Here is a 19,090-nt window from a genome sequence, read left to right on the forward strand (position 1 = left end):
CCAGGTCCCCCTGCTTAGCAACTGCCATGCTGGGCAAGTTATTAATTAATCAATTGTCAGTTTCCTCATCTGAAAAGAGGGGAGGAACTGCCAGTGGCTGCTAAACCTGCAGGGCCACCATGAGGCTTCAGTGCATGGATGCAGTTAGGGCCTGACATCATTCCCAGCAGGTGGGGAAAGCTCCACAGATACACAAGGTCGTTACCACTCACTGAAAGACCCGACTGTGCACCTCATTTGGGCCAGACCCTGAGAATGTGAAGGCCCAGTCAGGCAATGTTTTCAGCTCTGCAGGTTTTAAGTCTCTGTCACAACTACTCAACTCCACAGAGGGAGCACAAAAAGAGACAACAAATGGGTGTTAGCTGTGTTCCAACACAACTGTGTTCATAAAAACTCACAGGGGCCGGGTTTGCCCAGGGACTGCCATGTGCTGACCCCTGAGCCACAAGGTGCATGGGGCACAGAGGACCAGGGGTCAGTAAGGCACAGACCCTGTGTTCAAAGAGCTCCCACTCTGGTTGGGAAACAGACAGGAAAGTGCCACGTGATGAGCACTGCCTGCAGTCAGGAGGGGTTTCAAGGAAGCCTGGAGCAGGAGGCTGGGAGACGCAGCCCGCACAGTTCAGCGCCCCACCCCTGACCTGGCCGCAGAGTCGGAAGAGAGAGTGGGGCTGGGCTGAGGAAGCACTTGTGCAAAAGCACCAGGAGTCCTGGGGGAGCTGAAGTGGGGAGTGGCAGACGAGGGTACGGTGTGGGTTTTACCCAGGAGCCATGGAGAGTGGCTGCAAAGGCCTCTGCAGCAGGACAGACAGAGGCAGACTGGCCAGTCCAGACCATTAGGGAGGCACTCCGCAGGCAGACTCTGGAGTAACATGAGCGAGGATGCCAGTGAGGCTGAGCCACACTCTTCAACACCCGCCTCCGGACAAGGACATGCTGGGAGGTGAGAAACAGGCTTACAAACAGGAGGGGCACCTGGACCTGGGACGAGGGGATGGGGAGGAAGACAAAGAACCAAGGTGGCCCTGTGCTCTGGCTTGAGCACCCGAGTGGATGTGACTCCAGACCAGAGACAGGACAGGCAGGTGTGGAGGGAAAGACAATGACTCTGAACACACTGGCCTTGAGATGTCTCTGGATAACCCGGGTACACTGAGGCCTGGAGCGCAAGACAGAGCCTCAGCCAAGGATTAAGATCTGGGACTCGAGGGTCTATGTGTGTGGGCTAAGGGAAGGCGGCAGGGCAGGTGAGCCATCCCTGGAGAAAGCCCAGAGGAGAAGCAGAGGGCAAGGGGTGAATGAGGGCCCTGATACTGAGGGGTGGGCCTGCGATGGGAGAGTGAGTCCAGGAGTGGGGAGAGTGGAAGCTCAGGGAGGAAGTGGTAGGAGGGGCTGGGGCTGAGGAGTGCTTGCCGGATATGTCCATGTCAGGAGCGCCCCTTTACTGGCAAGAGTGGCTTTGGTAAGTGGGGCGGGGGTGGGGGGAGCGGTGCAGGCACGGCAGGTGGCTCCAGACTGGGGGAAATGGGCCCACAGCTGACACTGCTTTCACACAGGTCTGCCTTTGAGCCCAGGGAGAGGCAGCTGGAGAGAATCGGAGGAAAGTGGAAAGGTCTGTTTTAAGTTAAAGATGGGAAAGCCTCAGGGGCCCTAAGACACTGGACTCAAATCAACAAACATGTCCCAAGCACCTTTTCCTCCTGAAGATGACTGAGACCTCTGAGAGCTGCAGGAGATGTTGCCTGGGGCCAGAGGAGGGTGGAGGAGGGCAGAGGAGCTGGGGCCCTGTCTCCAGGCCCCATGGGCAAGGCAGACCAGGCCACAGCAGAGCTCCTGCCCCACCCCGTTCCTGGTCACCATGGTGGGGTGGAGAGTGTGCATGTGCACACGTGTGTGTGCGCGTGCGAGAGAGAGGAGAGAGAAAGACAGACACACATTCTAAGAATGATCATTAGCCCAGTTCCTCACTGGCCGGTGCTGGCCAACAACCCTTTCTGTCCCTCTGGCTGACCCCTCACTGCAGAGATCTATTCCACGGTCCCCACCTCCTTGGGGCAGCTCCCTGTTGGGGAGGCTCCCCACGGACAGGTGCACCCCAGAATAAGCCCATTGCAAACATGCTCCTACATCACAGGATGCCAAGGTCTCAGACATGCCCGAGAGCACCCCCTGCTTTGACAGATGGGGACAAGACTTGCCCAACACCTGGCAAGCTGGGTATAGACTGTGCCCAGCTAGGTCTCTGCCCCTGGGTATACACTGTGCCCAGGTAGGTCTCTGCCTCTGGGTGTAGACTGTGCCCAGCTAGGTCTCTGCCCCTGGGTGTAGACTCTGCCCAGCTAGGTCTCTGCCCCTGGGTGCAGACTCTGCCCAGCTAGGTCTCTGCCCCTGAGTGCAGACTCTGCCCAGCTAGGTCTCTGCCCCTCGGGCTATTTGGGAGCCAGCGCTGCCTAGAGAGCCATAAATCACACAGGAGCAGAGAGAGGCCACATCCACTCCGCTCAGGATGCACACAGCATCTATGCATCTGCCCTTTGCCTGCAGTAGAAACTTTCAGCCAATTTTAAAATACGGGGAAAGAGAACCTTCCAGTTCTCTGCCTTTGTCCTCCTCCCACACAGCCCTGAGGGCAACCCCCATGCCCTGGACAGCACTGAGCAGAACTACTGTTTACAAAGGGAAGTCAGGGACACCCCACGCCCGCCCGCACGCTTCCTCCTGGACCGAGGGACACCTACTCTGCTACTCATTTTGTTTTTTCACCTCTTATGTAAGCTAGGCTAGGAGCAAAAATAGCTGCCAGACTTTTGAAAACAAACCATGTACATTTGTGTTCCATGTTTTTGTAACCAAAATTAATCTGCCCTTGCCCTGAAGCCCGGGTCCTTTATCTTGTCCTCCCACATGGCAGGATGCGCTCTCCCTTCGGTGATGCACACCAATGTGCTTTACGGGTTAGACGGGGCAGCCTGTCTGGGCGGACCTGGCCACCAGTGTCTCCCACTGTACCTGCAAGTGCTGCACCAATTCGAGCTGGCACGAATGCAATAACCTCTCTGCTCTCCTGCCCATCTCACCTAACAGCCCTGTCTCCAATCCCAAGGAGTCGAAAAACTCATGATTCCTCCCCTTCCCTCCTCCCGAGACTGCAAGCCTTGTAACTGCAGAGCAAAGAGTGGTGTGATTACCAAGTGCCTTGTGTGTGCCAGGCTCTGTGTACAAGCAGTCAAGTAAGACAGTCCCACCTGCTGGGGCTCAAGGTCCACACAGAAAGCCTCTGGCCACACTCCACCCACAGACCGGCCCTTGGCTCTGCAAACCCTGCCTTTCCGGAGGGAATCCACGAGTGAAGAGCCTCGGGCGGGGGTCGGGGGTGCGGAAAGAAGCACTCTCTTCATCTGCAACCATATTCCTCCAGCTTGGGAGGAATCCAAGAAGTATAAAGAGAGAGACACACGCAGATGTGTTCATATTTCCATTTGGATGACAGCCACTGACGTATGTGCATCTCTTTTGGCTGTACTATAGGAATACATTAAGTAATTCAATGGAACCTTCTTGCTAATATTTTAATGGTATAGATCTGCTAATGAATTCTCTTCGAAACATATACTTACTGTACCCTGTTGCTTTATGCCTTATTTTAAACCGAGCCTTAAGGGAATATAGTATTTTAACATTAACTCTGCCAACAACTTTATCTAGCAGCCTGTTACCATTTTCGTCGTCTGTGAAATTTATGTCCAAAGAAAGGCAGGATTACATTTTTTCCTAACAGATTGAGTTGGTGTAGTGTGTTCTTGGTTATCAAAATACTCATACAGCTTTGGGATTTCGAATTGGTAAATATTCATGATGTGTGAAAAAGCATGACATATACTGCATGCTCTCAACCATGTAAAACGATGCTGTGTGCACACACAGGACACGGAAGGACACGGCAAACTGTAAACTGCTTGCGATTCTGGAGGACTTTGTTCTTCGCTTGCCTTTTTCAGTTTCCTATAACGCACATATTAGTTTTTTAAAAGTAAAGGTTATTTTTTTAAGGGGGGCAAGATGGCCTGGGAGAGGGCCTGTAAAATGCAGATTTCTAGGGCCTGCCCTTACTCCCTAGGGTCTAGGGTGGGGCCCAGGAATCTGCATTTTAAACACAAACCCTCAGCTGATCCTGATATAGGTAGACACAGACCGCATCTTGAGAAACTGAGAAATGAAGGGCTGAGACTTATGAGAAGCTGCTTCACAGCTTTAAACTGATCAGTATTTTTAACTGTTTCACAATGGATGTGGTTGACCAGGTGTGCACTGAGGCAAAGTGCCTGTTTTCCCGCTGACCTTTTACTTGGAATACCTCTTCTAACACTAACATTTTATCGTAAAAAATATAAAATTTCCTGAAAGGTCGAAATAATTGTATCACACACACCCATACACATACCACCTAGATGCTACAATGAGAATTTTTGCTGTATGTGCTTTATCACATATCCATCAATCTATCCATCTCTCTAACCACTTCATTTTTATTTTCTGCATAAACATACCTCGTACTTGGGTCTTTTCTAATCTAAGGTTTTACCACCTGCGGGTCAACCTCAATTCACGGATGCATTTCTTTTTGAGAGAGGGTCTCACTCTGTCGCCCAGACTGGAGTGCAGTGGCACGATCTCGGCTCACCACAACCTCAGCCTCCTCCAAGGCTCAAGCAATCCTCCCACTTCAGACTCCCGAGAGTTGGGACCACAGCTGCCTGCCACCAGAGCCGGCTAGTATTTCTGGCATTTCCTTGTAGAGATGGGGTTTCACCATGTTGCCCAGGCTGGTCTTGAACTCCTGGGCTCAAGAGATCTGCCTGCCTTGTCCTCCCAAAGTGTTGAGATTATAGGCATGGGCCACCACGCCTGGGCCACAGAGGTGTCTCTTCATGGTGCTGTCTGCTTTTAATTGCATAGGAACTGTTCTTAAGGAATCTCAGGGCAAATTCCCTGGAAATATGCATCGCCACACCCTGAAAAACCTGGATTTTCATATAAACCTGGGCACACACTTATTTATTAAAAGCAAACACGGGCCCATCGAAGTCACCTGTGCATCAAGGTAACGCCGGGCCTTGACATGAAGCCCACTCAGCACTGGAGGGAGTGACTGGCCCAGGCATCTGCCACCGGGGGCAAGGGTTCACCTCAACCCCAGCAGGGCTCAGATGGTACCTGGCTCCCATCTCAAAGCAGCTCAGCTCCAGGCCTCTGAGCTGCATTCTAAGTTAAGTCCAACACACACCTGAGTGCTCAGGTGGGAGGCCCGCCCCAAGAGCCCTGTGCTCCCATACTCGGCTTCTGCAGGTATCTGAGAAGGTGGGGTCTCCAATGCAGCAGAGCAGCCACCAGCTCTGCAAATGCAGCACTGTCCAAAGCCAGCTCCAGATTCACTCAGCAAGCGTCTCTCCAACACCTCCCAGGGGCCAGAACTGCTCTACATGCTGAGAACATGCCCATGAAGACACAAACCAAACTCCTGGGCCAGGGTTCCTCATCCGGTGGGACTCAGGAAAGCAGTGGTAGAAAGCAGGGCTCGTGCATCAGGCAGACTTGGGGCCACGTAGCCTGAGTGCTTAAATGTTCTGAAACACCCCACGCCACCCGCCTCGTGAAAATGCTTGATGGGCACGATGCACGCTGCACACCTTCCATGGCTGGGCCCTGAGAGCCCCTCCAGCCTCACCTCTCACCGTCCACCCAGACACACCAGGACCTTGTGGCCCTGACCTCAGGTGTCTCTCCTGCACGCTGCTTTCTCGGGCTTCCAGGCCTTTGCTCCTGCCTCTGCCTGGCTCTCCCTGCTTGGTTAACTCCTAGCTATTTCAGGCCTCACTTTCAACAGCACCCCCACCCCCTGGCCCCAGCCATGTTTGGGTGAGGCGCCCTCCTCTGTGACCCCCAGCACAGCACTGATGGTGTTGCATCCTAACCATGTGCTGCCTGCCTGCTTCCCTCCCCAGAGGCTAAGCCCTGTGGGTCCAGCTGTCTCTTCCATGACTATATCCATGCTGCTCAATTAATGTCACCGCATGAAGAAGGCAAAGTCACTCACAATCGGAAAGGTTTCAAGTCTGGAAGAGGGACAAGGGAGGGAATCCCAAATTGTTCTAAGCATCCTATGAGGACTGAAGACGGTTTGCTAGGCTGTTGTAACTATTCCAATCTGAGAACAGGTGTCCTCCACCATTTATCTAATTCCTGACACTATGGGCATCCGAAGGGAGTACAGCTCACTCCTCTCAGCAGTGGCCTGGACTTAATCAACCATGCCCAATTCATCACCTGCGTTGGCGGCTCAGTGTCTGCAAACCCACGTTTGTCTCACTACCTATCCCTGAGTAAATGTCTCATGCAGAGAGACACTATTTCTCTTTCTCTTGTGATTAATAAAGTGAATACGAAATCTAAGGCATTATAAATCTCATGGTAATTTTCCACTATGAAAGTCATTAATGTGAAAAATACTTGTCACTTCACAGAGGCATGACACTGGAGATGATGGAAACCTCTCTAAAACTCCAAGAACTCCCTGATGCAGAGGGCACAGCTTGTGTGTTTCTAGATCCTCTGCTCCTGGTGCAGCGCTCAGTTACCATGCAGGCGGGTGCTGGGCAGACGCGTCTATGTGACTGAGCGAGGATGCTCCCACAAGGTCAGGAACGAACACGGAGACGGGATCCCCAAACCCACCCTCCTCCACAAATCAGGGTGCAGGGTGAGATGTGGGAGTCACGTTCCATCCATGACCCCACTCTGGGGCTGCATGAGGTCCCCTATGTGCAGGAGGAGCTGCTGAGGTGGTTTGTGCATGACAGTCCCCAGCCCTCCCACCCGGGGCATTTCCAGTAAGCAATGCAGCCGTCAGAAGCTGCCCATGTTCTGGAACCCATCTGTGCCAGAGATTCGTGCCTCTCATAACCCAGAGAGCCAGTGGCCCATCTCCAGGACAAAGCTGAGAAACGGTCTACCCTCCCCACCCCTCGCCCAGGCATGGGCTGGCTTTGCACAGCCTTCAGGATGCTCCTCAGCAGGAGGTAAGGAGCCTTAGCATGCAAAGACACTCCCTGAGTGGGTCTGAGGAACAGACAGGTCCTCGCCACAGCCTCACCAACCCACCTCACCCAGTCCCAGAGCTTCCAGAGCCTCCAGGGCCCGGCTGCAGCACAGAACACGTAGAGATCCTGGGCTCACAGCCTTCCCCGGCAAGCCCGACAGCTCCACGGCAGGGAGAGGGCAATACGGTGCTCTGCCTTCGGTGGCCTAAGAGGCCTTCTGGCTGGTAGGAGAGACGTTGGGATTATTTCTTAGCCTTGAACAAGTCCACTCAATGTGTGCCAGTATTCTGATTTCACTCAGCTCACGTTTTCTAACCACTTCCAGCCCCCCTTGGAATAGGCAATGGGAAAAATTCCTAAATCCTCAGAAAAGAGGGTCCCGGAAGCTGCTACTGACATGAGGTTGTCAGGGTGAGTGGTCAAAGCATCAGAGACCTCACCTGGGTCTGGGTCTCCATGTAGCCTTGACCCTTTCACCTACATTTTTCCCAGAACCTTGATAAGATTTAAAATAAAGATAGAGTAGCCTCCACTAGCTGATGGCTATGGGGCTTGCCCAACACCAGTTACATCTTTGAAACCTCATAGAGCCATAACAATAATTCCTATTTTATTTTTAGGGACAGGGTTCCTCTCTGCCACCTAGGCTGGAGTGCAGCAGTGCAATCATAGCTCAATGCATTGCAGCCTTGACATCCCAGGTTCAAGCAATCCTCCTGCCTCAGCCTCCTGAGTAGCTGGGACTGCAGGCACGTGGCACTATGCCTGGCTAAATTTTTTTATTTTTTGTAGAGACAGAGTCTTGCTATGTTGCCCAGGCTGATCTCAAACTCCTGGCCTCAAGCGATCCTCCCACCTTGGTCTCCCAAAGTGCTGGGAATATAGGCGTGAGCCGCTGCACCCGGTTGCCCGTTATTCCCACAGATGAGGAAATAGTCCTAGCAAATTAGCCACAGAAATTGCAAGAAGTCTTTTAAAAGACGCACACGGATAGAAGGTGATCATAATGCCATGAGGTGGGGGCAGGAGAAACCCTGAATCACTGCCTTACATCAATCAATTACACTCCTTACCCTCCCCTGCTGACTGGGAGATGAAGAGGAGCAAGACGGGGGCCCTGGGAAGCCCAGGCAGGCTGAGGTGCCGGGGAAGCATCTGCTGAAACAGCTGTGGCTCCGCTCCTCCAAGCCCCCAAGGACAGGTCAGTCTGAATGTGCTTCTCAGGAATTTCCAGCAGCCCCATCCAGGGGCCTCACAGCAAGGCTCCCTACCTCCATGCGGGCCTTGTAGAAGTCCACGTCGTGCAGCTTCTCCTTGCAGCGGGTCAGCTCCAGCTCCAGCCTCTCCACGCGGTTCGCCTTCTCCCGCAGGGAATCCAGCTCGTCTCGATAGGCACGAGCAGACCGGGCGTCTGCCGCTAGCTGGATGTTCTGCAAGGTGGACAAAGGCAGGAGAACCTAGCTTAGGGCATCCTCTAGGAAGGGCAGAAAGGCCATTGCCCTTCTGCATGGTGTCTCCACGACGGCCCAGGACAAGCCAGCTCCTGGTGGCCGGGGGCCTCCATGTGCCACCACCACACGGGATCTCCACCTGCTGTCACTAAGAAACAGGGTCATCCCCATAGCCGTGCTCAGGACAAGTGGCTCTTGTGTGGCTTAAAAGCGCTGCTGTTGAGCTCCTGACCCTCCAGGCCCCGTTACTGGACACTCCAGCCCTGCTACCCCCAGGACACACAGGCTCAGGCCCCCGACTCACCTCCTGCTTAACTTTCTGCAGTTCCAGCACCAGCTGGTCCACCTCATGTCTGGTGTCCACAAGCTGCTCTGTCTTATCCTCCCTGCAGAGGCAGTAAGGAGAAAGAGTGTGGGAGGCAGCTTCCTCAACAAGCAGCCCTGGGAGCAGGCTGCCACTTCCTAAAACCTGTGGGAAAAGGAAAGGACTCGGGATTTGGGCGGTGGGGAGGCGATCTGCTTATGGGGCCTGCAAAAATGTTACTGACTCAAAATTCTTTTCTTTTCATAAGTTTGCAACACCGGCCCTTAAACTATGTCCATCCGCCACTCAGGTCTCCCTCCCTGTGTGTGGGGCAGGTAAGGAGACCCCAGCGGCAGCTGTACCACCCCACAGCCAGGCTCCACAGGTGACATCCATCAGCTGCAGGAAACCTGGGAGAACAGGCTCACCAGATTGGAGGGAAGGAGGGGCACCTCATCCCTCCAGCCAAGAAAACACATCAGGTGTGGTCGTCCCGGCCCCAAGCTGGAGCTGAGCGTGGACTGGAGGCTGCTTCTGTGGACAACTTGCACCGTCTGGACGGGAGGAAACCCTGAAGACCGGGAAGAATCCCCGCCCCCATCCCTGTGCAGGCCTCAGAAGGGGAGGCAGCTAGTCCGAGGTCAAAGAGTAAGCTCAGGGCAGACCCCAGCTGACTCCGGGGCACACGTCAGAGCTGTGCCATTGGCAGCACCACACATGTGAGTCGACACCACACCAGAAACATGTCTGCAACACACACAAAGGTAGGAGAAGCAGCCGGGGACTCACAGCTCCTGCCTGACGCGCCGCAGCCTGGCCTTGGTGTCGGCCAGCTCTACGGCCAGGTGCTGCTTGTCTTCGCTAGAGAGGCTGCTGGTGGGGCTGGGAGTGGAGTCGGCGCTGGAGGACTTGATGGGGCTGGGTGGATGCTGTGCCTGCAGGTAGTCCCGTTCCTGAGTGAGGTCCACGATCAGCTGCAGCCGGGCAGAGAGGGGGATGGAGGAGAACAAACGGGGTTAACCAGCACAACGCCTGAGCTTGAACAGGGTGAAGAAACCGCCAAAAGACAGATATTTCAGCGGAGACTAAGAAACGAGGAGGAAGGTGGGAAAAGGCTGGCATGGGTTTTGAAAAGAGGTGAAATATTTAGTGAAACAAAAGGGAGTGTACGAAGGAGGAGGGCCCCAAGCTCCGCGTCCTGATTCCCTGTATCCTCCCACAGGCCCGAGGTGACCATGCACTGCAGGGGCCGTAACCAGGGAAAGCACGCACGTCCCACCCCCACCAGAACCTCAGCAGCAGGACCGAGGCGTCTAGGCTGAAGATGAAGGGAGAGGAGATGAAGGGGCCTAAGCCCCTTCCCAGGCTGACCGGGCCACCGACCCGCGGACGCACCTCGGTGCACTCGTCCCGCTGGTCGATGAGCCTCCGCAGGTGGAGCACCATGCTCCTCGACAGGGCCTCCAGCTCCTCCGGAGCCACGTCGGGCAGCTCCAGCCACTGCAGGTCAAACACGTTCTCTTGGTTGTGAGTCACCTGTGGGCACACATGGCAGGGCACTGCAGGGGCGGCAGAGACGGGCGCCCACTTCCCTCACACTGCAAACAGCATCCCCTTCCAATCAACCTTACTAATCCCTCAGTGACAAATTTACGGTGGCCAGCAAAAGGGTGCCCTACGCAAGTGTGGCCAAACCCTTCAGCAGAGCCCTGTTCATACGAACCACTTCTGCTTTCAGAACTGGGTCAGAGAGGATGCTGATTTTCAAAGGGGACCAGAAAGCACGCCTCACAATTATTTCCCTATAGGGTCCTGGGATAAGATATCTTCATTGGAGCTACATCAATGTAGAACACAAAGAAGGAAAGCTTCAGGGTGAGAGGGTGAGGAAAGGGACTGTATGTTACTTCTTAAAATCTATGCAAACAGCAAAAATATTAATCTTATGTCAGAATGTTGTGTACAAAGCAATCTTGGGTTGTTTTCTGGATCTATTCATAAACAGTTTTCAGGGAAGGGTGCATCTCATTCCCACGGGCCACAGAAGACAGCCTCTTTGTGCCCCTTTCACTGGCCAGGGAACGGAGATACACAGCTCTGTCTACGTGAAACAGCCTCTCGACGCACACCCCCGGATCTGCCACAGGAGACAGGATCCATTTCGAGCTCTTCTCCTCTCAATTTTGGAAGAAAGATACCATAGTGCTCAGGCCTCAAAAGAGGAAAACAAAAACAATGAAATCAGGGGTATCTACTCTGAAACACACCCAAAGAAGTCTTTATTCAATCAACAGAGATAGAGAAAACAAAAAAACTCAGCTTGAGCAACCTAGTAAGACCCCATCTCTACAAAAAATTTAAAAATTAGCCGGGCGAGGTGGCATGCACCTGTGGTCCCAGCTACTTGGGAGGCTGGGGCAGGAGGACCACTTGAGGCCAGGAGTTTGAGGTTGCAGTGAGCTATGATCACACCACTTGTACTCCAGCCTGGGTGACAGGCTGTCTCTAAAAAAAAGAGACCCTGTCTCTAAAAAAAGACAAACCCATAAAATAAAAAGCAGACAGAACCCTGTCAACAAAGGCCCTTCAATTTCTCAAAATTTGAAGAGACACCACCTTCTTACCTCTCCCCACCTTAAAAGGCCGAGTTTGGATACAGGTGATCTGAGAATTAGGAGAAATCTTATCCCATGATTCAGAGCACCCTAAGGGCACAGGATTGAGAGGCCGGTTCTAGGCCTGGTCCAGACCCAATGCTGGGGAAACTCCTTGGACATCTCGGGGCCTCTGTAAAGGGTGGTGTGGCTGGGCTTCAGGGGCTCAGCCTGGCTGCACCACAGCCACTTGCTGAGCTTTTATTGAAATGCTTATGCCCCCTCCTCCCCCTGAGTCTGACTCAGTGGGTCTCTCATGGGGCCCAGCACCCAAATTTTAAAAAAGCACCCAGGGAATTCTGAAGCCCAGGCCCAATGGCCCCAGCCAGCTGTGGAAGCTGGTAGGCCCAGCTACAGCTTCTCCCCAATATCAACCCAGGGAGTCCTGTGCTCAGCTGCCTCTGCCAATCACACACCAGCTCCTGTGCATGCAAATCTTCATGTATTTATCTCATCTGTCCAATGACACTGACTGCTGAACCCAAATCCCCTAAGGTAATTAAAGCACACAATGCTTATTTTGGAAGGAGTGTGGAAGTGGAGGTCAGGAAAGTAAATTTCCACCTGGATACCGCCCCCTAGGGTGGGCGGCCTCCTTAGCTGATACCACCTTTGCCAACATCAATGGCAAAGGGCCGGGAAGGTCAGGCCTCAAAGGCCAGGGGCTCCTCCTCCTCCACTCCGCTGACGCTCAGTGCAGAGCCCTCCCGGCCCCTCGCTGGGGGGCCTGAGTTGGGGCTGGGCCAAGTCTCCCAAGGCGGTCTTTCTGGGACTCGCTGGTTTTGATTCCCAAGTGGTGTCAGCTTGTCTCTGCCATGTCACTGACAGAAGCAGAGAATCTCTCTATTCTATAAAGATCAACTGTTCAAAGCAGGGTGACATTTGCCAGAATACATTTTCAGGGCCTGTAAATCAAACTCTGGGCCTCAACCAGTTGACAGCTCTTAAAAATAGTCTGAGTCCATATAAGGCAAAAAGAAGGAGACAAAAGATGACTTGATTGAGGTGTTTTTTTTTTTTAATTTTTATTTTTACCCTCATTTTATTTTAGCTGGCTGATTGATGGCTATCTTTCCAAATAGAATCAATGTGTCTGTGGTGTCTGAAACCTAAGATTAGCAAAATCGTAATGGGTGATGTATTCTTCAAACGTTTCCACTCATAGAGAAGTTTTGCCTCCCGGCCACCACAGGAGCAGCAGTCCACAGCTGAGCCCACCACGAGGCCACGCACCTACCTCCTGGATATGGGCCACGATGCCAGCCTGGGTCTCAATGTCCAGCTGTTTGATTCTTTCAATGAACTCCTCTTTCCTCTCACACTGCGGAGGGTTACATGTGTTAATGGAAGCGCTGTTCAAGTGAGGGTGAAGCTGAGTCCACCACAGCCACAGAATGACAGTTTCAAAAGGAACCACCCACCCCGGGCTTCTCCTTCATAACTAAGAACGCTCTTGTCCTCCTACCAGCCTTACACTGATGTGTCTCTAGTGGTTGCCAGGACCACTTACATCAGAATCACCTGGGGAGCTTGTTCTTAAAACTCCCATCCGTAAGCCCCCACCCAGATTGAAAAGACCAGGGTGGAACACAGAACGCTTCATTTTAAACAAGCTCTCCCGGTGATTCTTAAGTACAGAAAGACGGGGGACACCTGGTTTAGGCCAGGGTGGGGCAAACTTCATGTGTAAAAAGCCAGATGGTAAATATTTTAGACTCTGTGGGCCATTTGGCCTCTGTCACAACTACTCAGCTCTGTCGCTGTAGTGGCAAACCAGCCACAGACAATATGTAAAGGTGGGCATGAGGCTGTGTTCCAATAAAACTTTATTTGAGAGAGGGTCTCGCTGTCACCCAGGCTGGAGTGCAGTGGCATGATCATGGCTCACTGCAGCCTCAAACTCCTGCACTCAAGTGATCCTCTCGCCTCAGCCTCCCGAGTAGCCGGGACTACAGGCATGCGCCACCACACCCAGCTAATGTTTTCTATTTTTTGTAAAGATGAGGTCTCACTATGTTGCCAAGGCTGGTCTTGAACTCCCGACCTCAAGCGATCCTCCCCCACCTCAGCCTCCCAAAGTGCTGAGATTACAGGCATGAGCCACTGCACTCGGCCCAATAAAACTTTATTTACAAATACAGGCAGCAAGTCAGATCTGGCCCACAAGCTGTAGTTTGCAGATCCTTGTTCTAGTGATTCCTACGCTGGGGACGATTTGCTAATGGTACCCTGGCCTGAGGGATCCCCATCTCGCCTCCTGCCCAAGGTGCCCTGGTACTAGAAACAGCTGCCACGTAAAACAATGGCCACTCTCTTCCAGGAACCCAGCGGCCTTCTGTCATATTGGACTGAAAGGAGCATCCTCCCACCTAAGCTAAGGGCTCGGTCAAGTCCCGCAAACCCAATATGAGATGGCTGGGGTAGGTCCCTCTGCTGCAGCCCTGCCCAATCCCTACCTGGACAGCACAGCCCAGCACCAGCAGCAGCACCTTCTTGATTTCCTCCATGCTCTTCCCTAGATCAAGAGAGCAACACATTTAACTCAGCTCAACTGCTGATATAATTTCAGTGACATGTTTACCGTAGGGAAAAAACAGATAAAAAAAAATCATCTCTCTACTCTGTGACATTCACTTAGGTATACACACTCCATCGATCTTCCATGTGTGGCTTTATTTACTTTTTATTTTATTTTGAGACAGGGTCTCACTCTGTCACCCAGGCTGGAGTGCAGTGGCAGGCCCACAGCTCATTGCAGCCTTGACCTCCCAAGGCTCAAGCGATCCTCTCACCTCAGCCTCCCTAGTAGCTGGGACTACAGACACATACCACCATGCCCAGCTAATTTTTGTATTTGTTGAAGAGATGGGTTTTTGCCATGTTGCCTAGGCTGGTCTCAAACTCCTGGACTCAAGTGATCCGCCCACCTCAGCCTCCCAGGTTGCAGGAATTACAGGTGTGAGCCACCATACCCAGCCTTATTTACTTTTTAAACCAAATGAGAATTCTGTACATAACTATTTGAAGCCCCTTCCATTCAAATATGTCGTAAGTATCTCCCCATGATAATTAACAAACCATAACATCAGCATCCCTTTTTAGCGCGTAAGCAAAGTACACAATGGGAGAGAACAACTCCCACAGGAAATACTGAGTCAACGCTAAAATAAGGCTGTATACAACCTTCCCCTTTTTATTATGCAAAATTCCAAACAGACACGGGAGGACAGTATAATGAACCTCCACAATACACTCAGCCTCACATTATCAACATTCTGCACCTCTCACTCTACCTGCCTCCTCCTTCCCCCTTTTAAGTTTGTTTGGCTGGAGTATTCTAAAGTAAATTCTATAAGATAACATAAAGCCATCCTTTTTTTTTTTTTTGAGATGGAGTCTCGCTCTGTCGCCCAGGCTTGAGTGCAGTGGTGCAATCTCGGCTCACTGCAAGCTCTGCCTCCTGGGTTCATGCCATTCTCCTGCCTCAGCCTCCCGAGTAGCTGGGACTACAGGCGGCCACCACCGCGCCCAGCTAATTTTTTGTATTTTTAGTAGAGATGGGGTTTCACCGTGGTCTCAATCTCCTGACCTCGTGATCCGCCCACCTCAGCCTCCCAAAGTGCTGGGATTACAGGCTTGAGCCACCGCGCCCGGCCCCTTTTTTTTTTTTCTGATACAGGTTCCCACTCTATTGCCCAGGTTGGGGTATAGTGGTGCAATCATAGCTCGCTGCAGCTTCCACCTCCTGGGTTCAAGTGATCCTTCCACCTCAGCCTCCCGAGTAGCTAGACTACAGGTGCGCATCACCACACCTGGCTAACTTTTGTATTTTTTGTAGACAGGGTCTCATAATATTGCCCAGGTTGGTCTTGAACTCCTGGGCTCAAGCGATCCTCCTGCCTCAGCCTTCCAAAGTGTTGGGATCACACGTGTGAGCCACTGCACCTTTTTGATGGTTGCATACTTACTTTGTAAATCAAGGCCAGTAACTTATTTAACCAATACCCCTTCCAGAGGTTCAATTTATATATATATATATATATATATATTTTTTTTTTTTTTTTTTTTGAGACAGAGTCTCACTCTGTCACCCAGGCTGGAGTGCAGTGGCACAATTTTGGCTCACTTCCACCTCTGTCTCCTGGGTTCAAGCGATTCTCCTGCCTCAGCCTCCCAAGGAGCTGGGATTACAGGCGCTCGCCACCACGCTCTGCTATTTTTGAATTTTTAGTAGAGACGGGGGTTTCACCATGTTGGCCTGGCTGGTCTTGAACTCCTGACCTCGTGATCTGCTCGCCTCGGCCTCCCAAAGTGCTGGGATTACAGACGTGAGCAGCCGTGCCCGGCCTTAAAATATTTCAATCTAAACAATGTTATAAAGAATATCATGGTAGCTAATTCTTTATGCATTCCCTTTTTAAGCTTTTCATATTGACAAACTGCCCTGCAGACAGGCTCTGCCATTTCACCCTGGGAAATGTGTGGTGATTCCCATTTTCCTACCCTTGATCAACATTTACCTCACCACTTTCCCAACTTTGTCAATCAGGCCAAAAATCCTGTTTCGTCATTCTGAGCTGTGTCTCTTTGATTGTGCTTGGGGCTGAATGCATCTTCACCTGTTTATCTATCTCAAACACTTAAACAGCAGCAGAACACCTGCGCCTAGACGATGGGCTTGGTCACCCAGGAACTGTGTGTCCCAGACAAGCCATACTCTGTCTCCAAGCCTCAGTTTCCACATCTATAAAATGGCCTGGGTAATGTGCAGGGTTCCCTTTCAGGTTCAAAAAAAAAAAAATCTATGTGTTCTTTTTCGTTATATCCTATTGTATTGAGGAAGAAAGGACATGCCAGAAATAGCTTTCTTCTCTTAAAAGACTTAACCAACTCACACACTGGGCTACAGTGTCCCAAAGTGTCAAAGACTGCCGGGATGAAAAAACCAAACCGCCGTCCTGAGAACCAATGCTGCGGTTCATTTCAGATCCCTGGGTATAAGTAGTGAATGAATATGCGACCTCCTCCTAAGACCCCTCAACTGAGAAATAGCTAAAATTGGCTTTCCTTGAGATAATGACATCATTGTCAAGCCTCAGAACTGGGAACTGGGGGTTCACTGAACCAGAAACACACCCCGCCCCCCAGCCTGAAGGCAGGGCAGGGAGAGACTGGTGGGTTGGACCACAGGGTCTAAGGCCACTTTCCTGCTCTGGAGGACACACCTGAGAATAAGGCTCAGCGTTGCAAAGCAATCTTCTAAGGTTAAATCCTTCTCCTGCTAGTAAGTGTAGAAATTCATCAATATTTGAAATGGAAAAATTCTCAAAATCTTAGGATTTTTTTTTTTTACTTGAGATCTTTTATTTGGCCCAAGATACTCTAATCCATAGAATAAATATCACCACAGTGACTCACTTCCCTATTAACGTGGAGCTATTCATCAGCCACTTAATTTTAGTTTCGATAAAGAGAAAAGGGGCTGGGCACAGTGGCTCATGCCTGTAATCCTAGCACTTTGGGAGGCCAAGGTGGGAGGTGAGGTCAGGAGTTCGAAACCAGCCTGGCCAACATGGTGAAACCTCGACTCTACCAAAGGTACAAAAATTAGCTGGGCGTGGTGGCACGCGTCTGTAATCCCAGCTGCTTGGGAGGTTGAGGCAGGAGAATCACTTGAACCCAGGAGGCGGAGGTTGCAGTGAGCTGAAATTGCTCCACTGCACTCCAGCCTTGGCGACAAAGGAAGACTCTGTCTCAAAAAAAGAGAGAGAAAAGGGAATGCCCACATGAGTGTTAACAAAGCCTCCAATCAGTCTTTCTGACAGTGCTTGCCGGCTCAGCCCAAGTCACCCACCTCCCCCTTTCCCTTTTGTCGGCCCACAGATCACTGGCAAGTGCTCATCACATGCCCATGCTGGATATAAGAGGCACAGACCCTTCCCAGCCGTCACTGGCTTGTCTTCCTACAATGAGACTCACTTTTTGAAAGGCCACTCACCTGGTACTGTACCCACCACAGGAGCTGAAACACTAAGAAAGCACTTAAGGGCCTGAGATCAGCCCAAACAGAAGTCAGGGTTTGCACAGAAAATCTTTATGTACTCTATTCGCAGCAAAGTCCCCAAATAAACTAATTACATCACACTGTAGAATCATTTGGACAACTCTGGTGATCCATTTCCCCAGCCCAAAGCACATTACAACAGCAAATTAAAAGGGAGGAAAGTGCTAGAGAGGCTCACTGATGGTGTTCTGAGAGCAAGGAAGAGACCAGAAACCTTGCACACACACTAGAGGGCTCAAAACTACACTCTGAGGCCGGGTGAACTCAAACAAATTTACAAGAAAAAAACAAACAACCCCATCAAAAAGTGGGTGAAGGACATGAACAGACACTTCTCAAAAGAAGACATTTATGCAGCCAAAAAACACATGAAAAAATGCTCACCATCACTGGCCATCAGAGAAATGCAAATCAAAACCACAATGAGATACCATCTCACACCAGTTAGAATGGCGATCATTAAAAAGTCAGGAAACAACAGGTGCTGGAGAGGATGTGGAGAAACAGGAACACTTTTACACTGTTGGTGGGACTGTAAACCAGTTCAACCCTTGTGGAAGTCAGTGTGGCGATTCCTCAGGGATCTAGAACTAGAAATACCATTTGACCCAGCCATCCCATTACTGGGTATATACCCAAAGGATTATAAATCATGCTGCTATAAAGACACATGCACACGTACGTTTATAGTGGCACTATTCACAATAGCAAAGACTTGGAACCAACCTAAATGTCCAACAACCATAGACTGGATAAAGAAAATGTGGCACATATACACCATGGAATACTATGCAGCCATAAAAAATGGTGAGTTTTTGAGATGGAGTCTCGCTCTGTCACCCAGGCTAGAGTGCAGTGGTGCAAGCTCAGCTCACTGCAACCTCTGCCTCCTGGGTTCAAGCGATTCTCCTGCCTCAGCCTCCCGAGTAGCTGGGATTACAGGCGCACACCACCATGCCCAGCCAATTTTTGTATTTTCATTAGAGATGGGGTTTCACCATGTTGGCCAGGCTTGTCTCAAACTCCTGACCTCAAGTGATCTGCTTGCCTTGGCCTCCCAAAGTGCTGGGATTACAGGTGTGAGCCACTGCGCCCAGCCAAGACCCTATCTCTATTAAAAAAAAAAAAAAAAAAAAATTAGCCTGGCCTGGTGGTGCACTATTTGGGAGGCTGAGGTAGGAGGATCGCCTGAGCCTGGGAGGGTGAAGCTGCAGTGAGCTTTGATTGTGCCACTGCACTGTAGCCTGGGCGACAGAGCAAGACCCTGTCTCCAAAACAAACAAATAAACAAAAAACACCACAAAAACAAACAACACTCCGAGGCTGTTTGGTGACAGAGCAAACGGTTCTACTCTCTCAGCACCCTGCAATCACACACAATGACAACCCTGAGTTCATTCATTCCCTCATTCATCCCAACACCCATTAGACATCAAGAAAACAATCTGACCCACAGCACAGGTTAGAAGAGTATGGATTCCTGTTTGCTAAGGTTTGTAACAGGAGGGAAAAAGGCT

At 51.3% G+C, this 19,090-nt stretch overlaps 1 protein-coding gene across 5 annotated transcripts in view, besides 1 other annotated feature; it reads right to left on the reverse strand.

The window, feature by feature from the left end:
• The window catches only part of CCDC88C (coiled-coil domain containing 88C), a 146,498-nt gene that overhangs the window by 58,311 nt on the left and 69,097 nt on the right, over nucleotides 1–19,090 (reverse strand). For all 5 annotated transcript variants that reach the window (NR_189158.1, NR_189159.1, NM_001080414.4 and 2 more), the window contains 6 exons: nucleotides 13,966–14,024; nucleotides 12,747–12,830; nucleotides 10,251–10,391; nucleotides 9,645–9,829; nucleotides 8,856–8,937; nucleotides 8,372–8,530 (listed from right to left, as the gene is read on the reverse strand). Coding sequence is in view for 3 of the 5 variants with exons in the window: in NM_001080414.4 (NP_001073883.2) it covers nucleotides 8,372–8,530; nucleotides 8,856–8,937; nucleotides 9,645–9,829; nucleotides 10,251–10,391; nucleotides 12,747–12,830; nucleotides 13,966–14,024 (710 nt within the window). In the remaining 2 variants the exon portion in view is untranslated. The remainder of the gene's footprint in view (nucleotides 1–8,371; nucleotides 8,531–8,855; nucleotides 8,938–9,644; nucleotides 9,830–10,250; nucleotides 10,392–12,746; nucleotides 12,831–13,965; nucleotides 14,025–19,090) is intronic.
• Nucleotides 1,703–1,832: an enhancer, noted in NCBI's record as "active region_8903". NCBI's record gives its function as "activates an Ori minimal core promoter by ATAC-STARR-seq in GM12878 lymphoblastoid cells {active_cell/tissue: GM12878}" and the evidence as "EXISTENCE:reporter gene assay evidence [ECO:0000049][PMID:35858748]".

The sequence above is a fragment of the Homo sapiens genome, chromosome 14 (assembly GCF_000001405.40).
Source record: "Homo sapiens chromosome 14, GRCh38.p14 Primary Assembly".
NCBI lineage: Eukaryota > Metazoa > Chordata > Mammalia > Primates > Hominidae > Homo > Homo sapiens.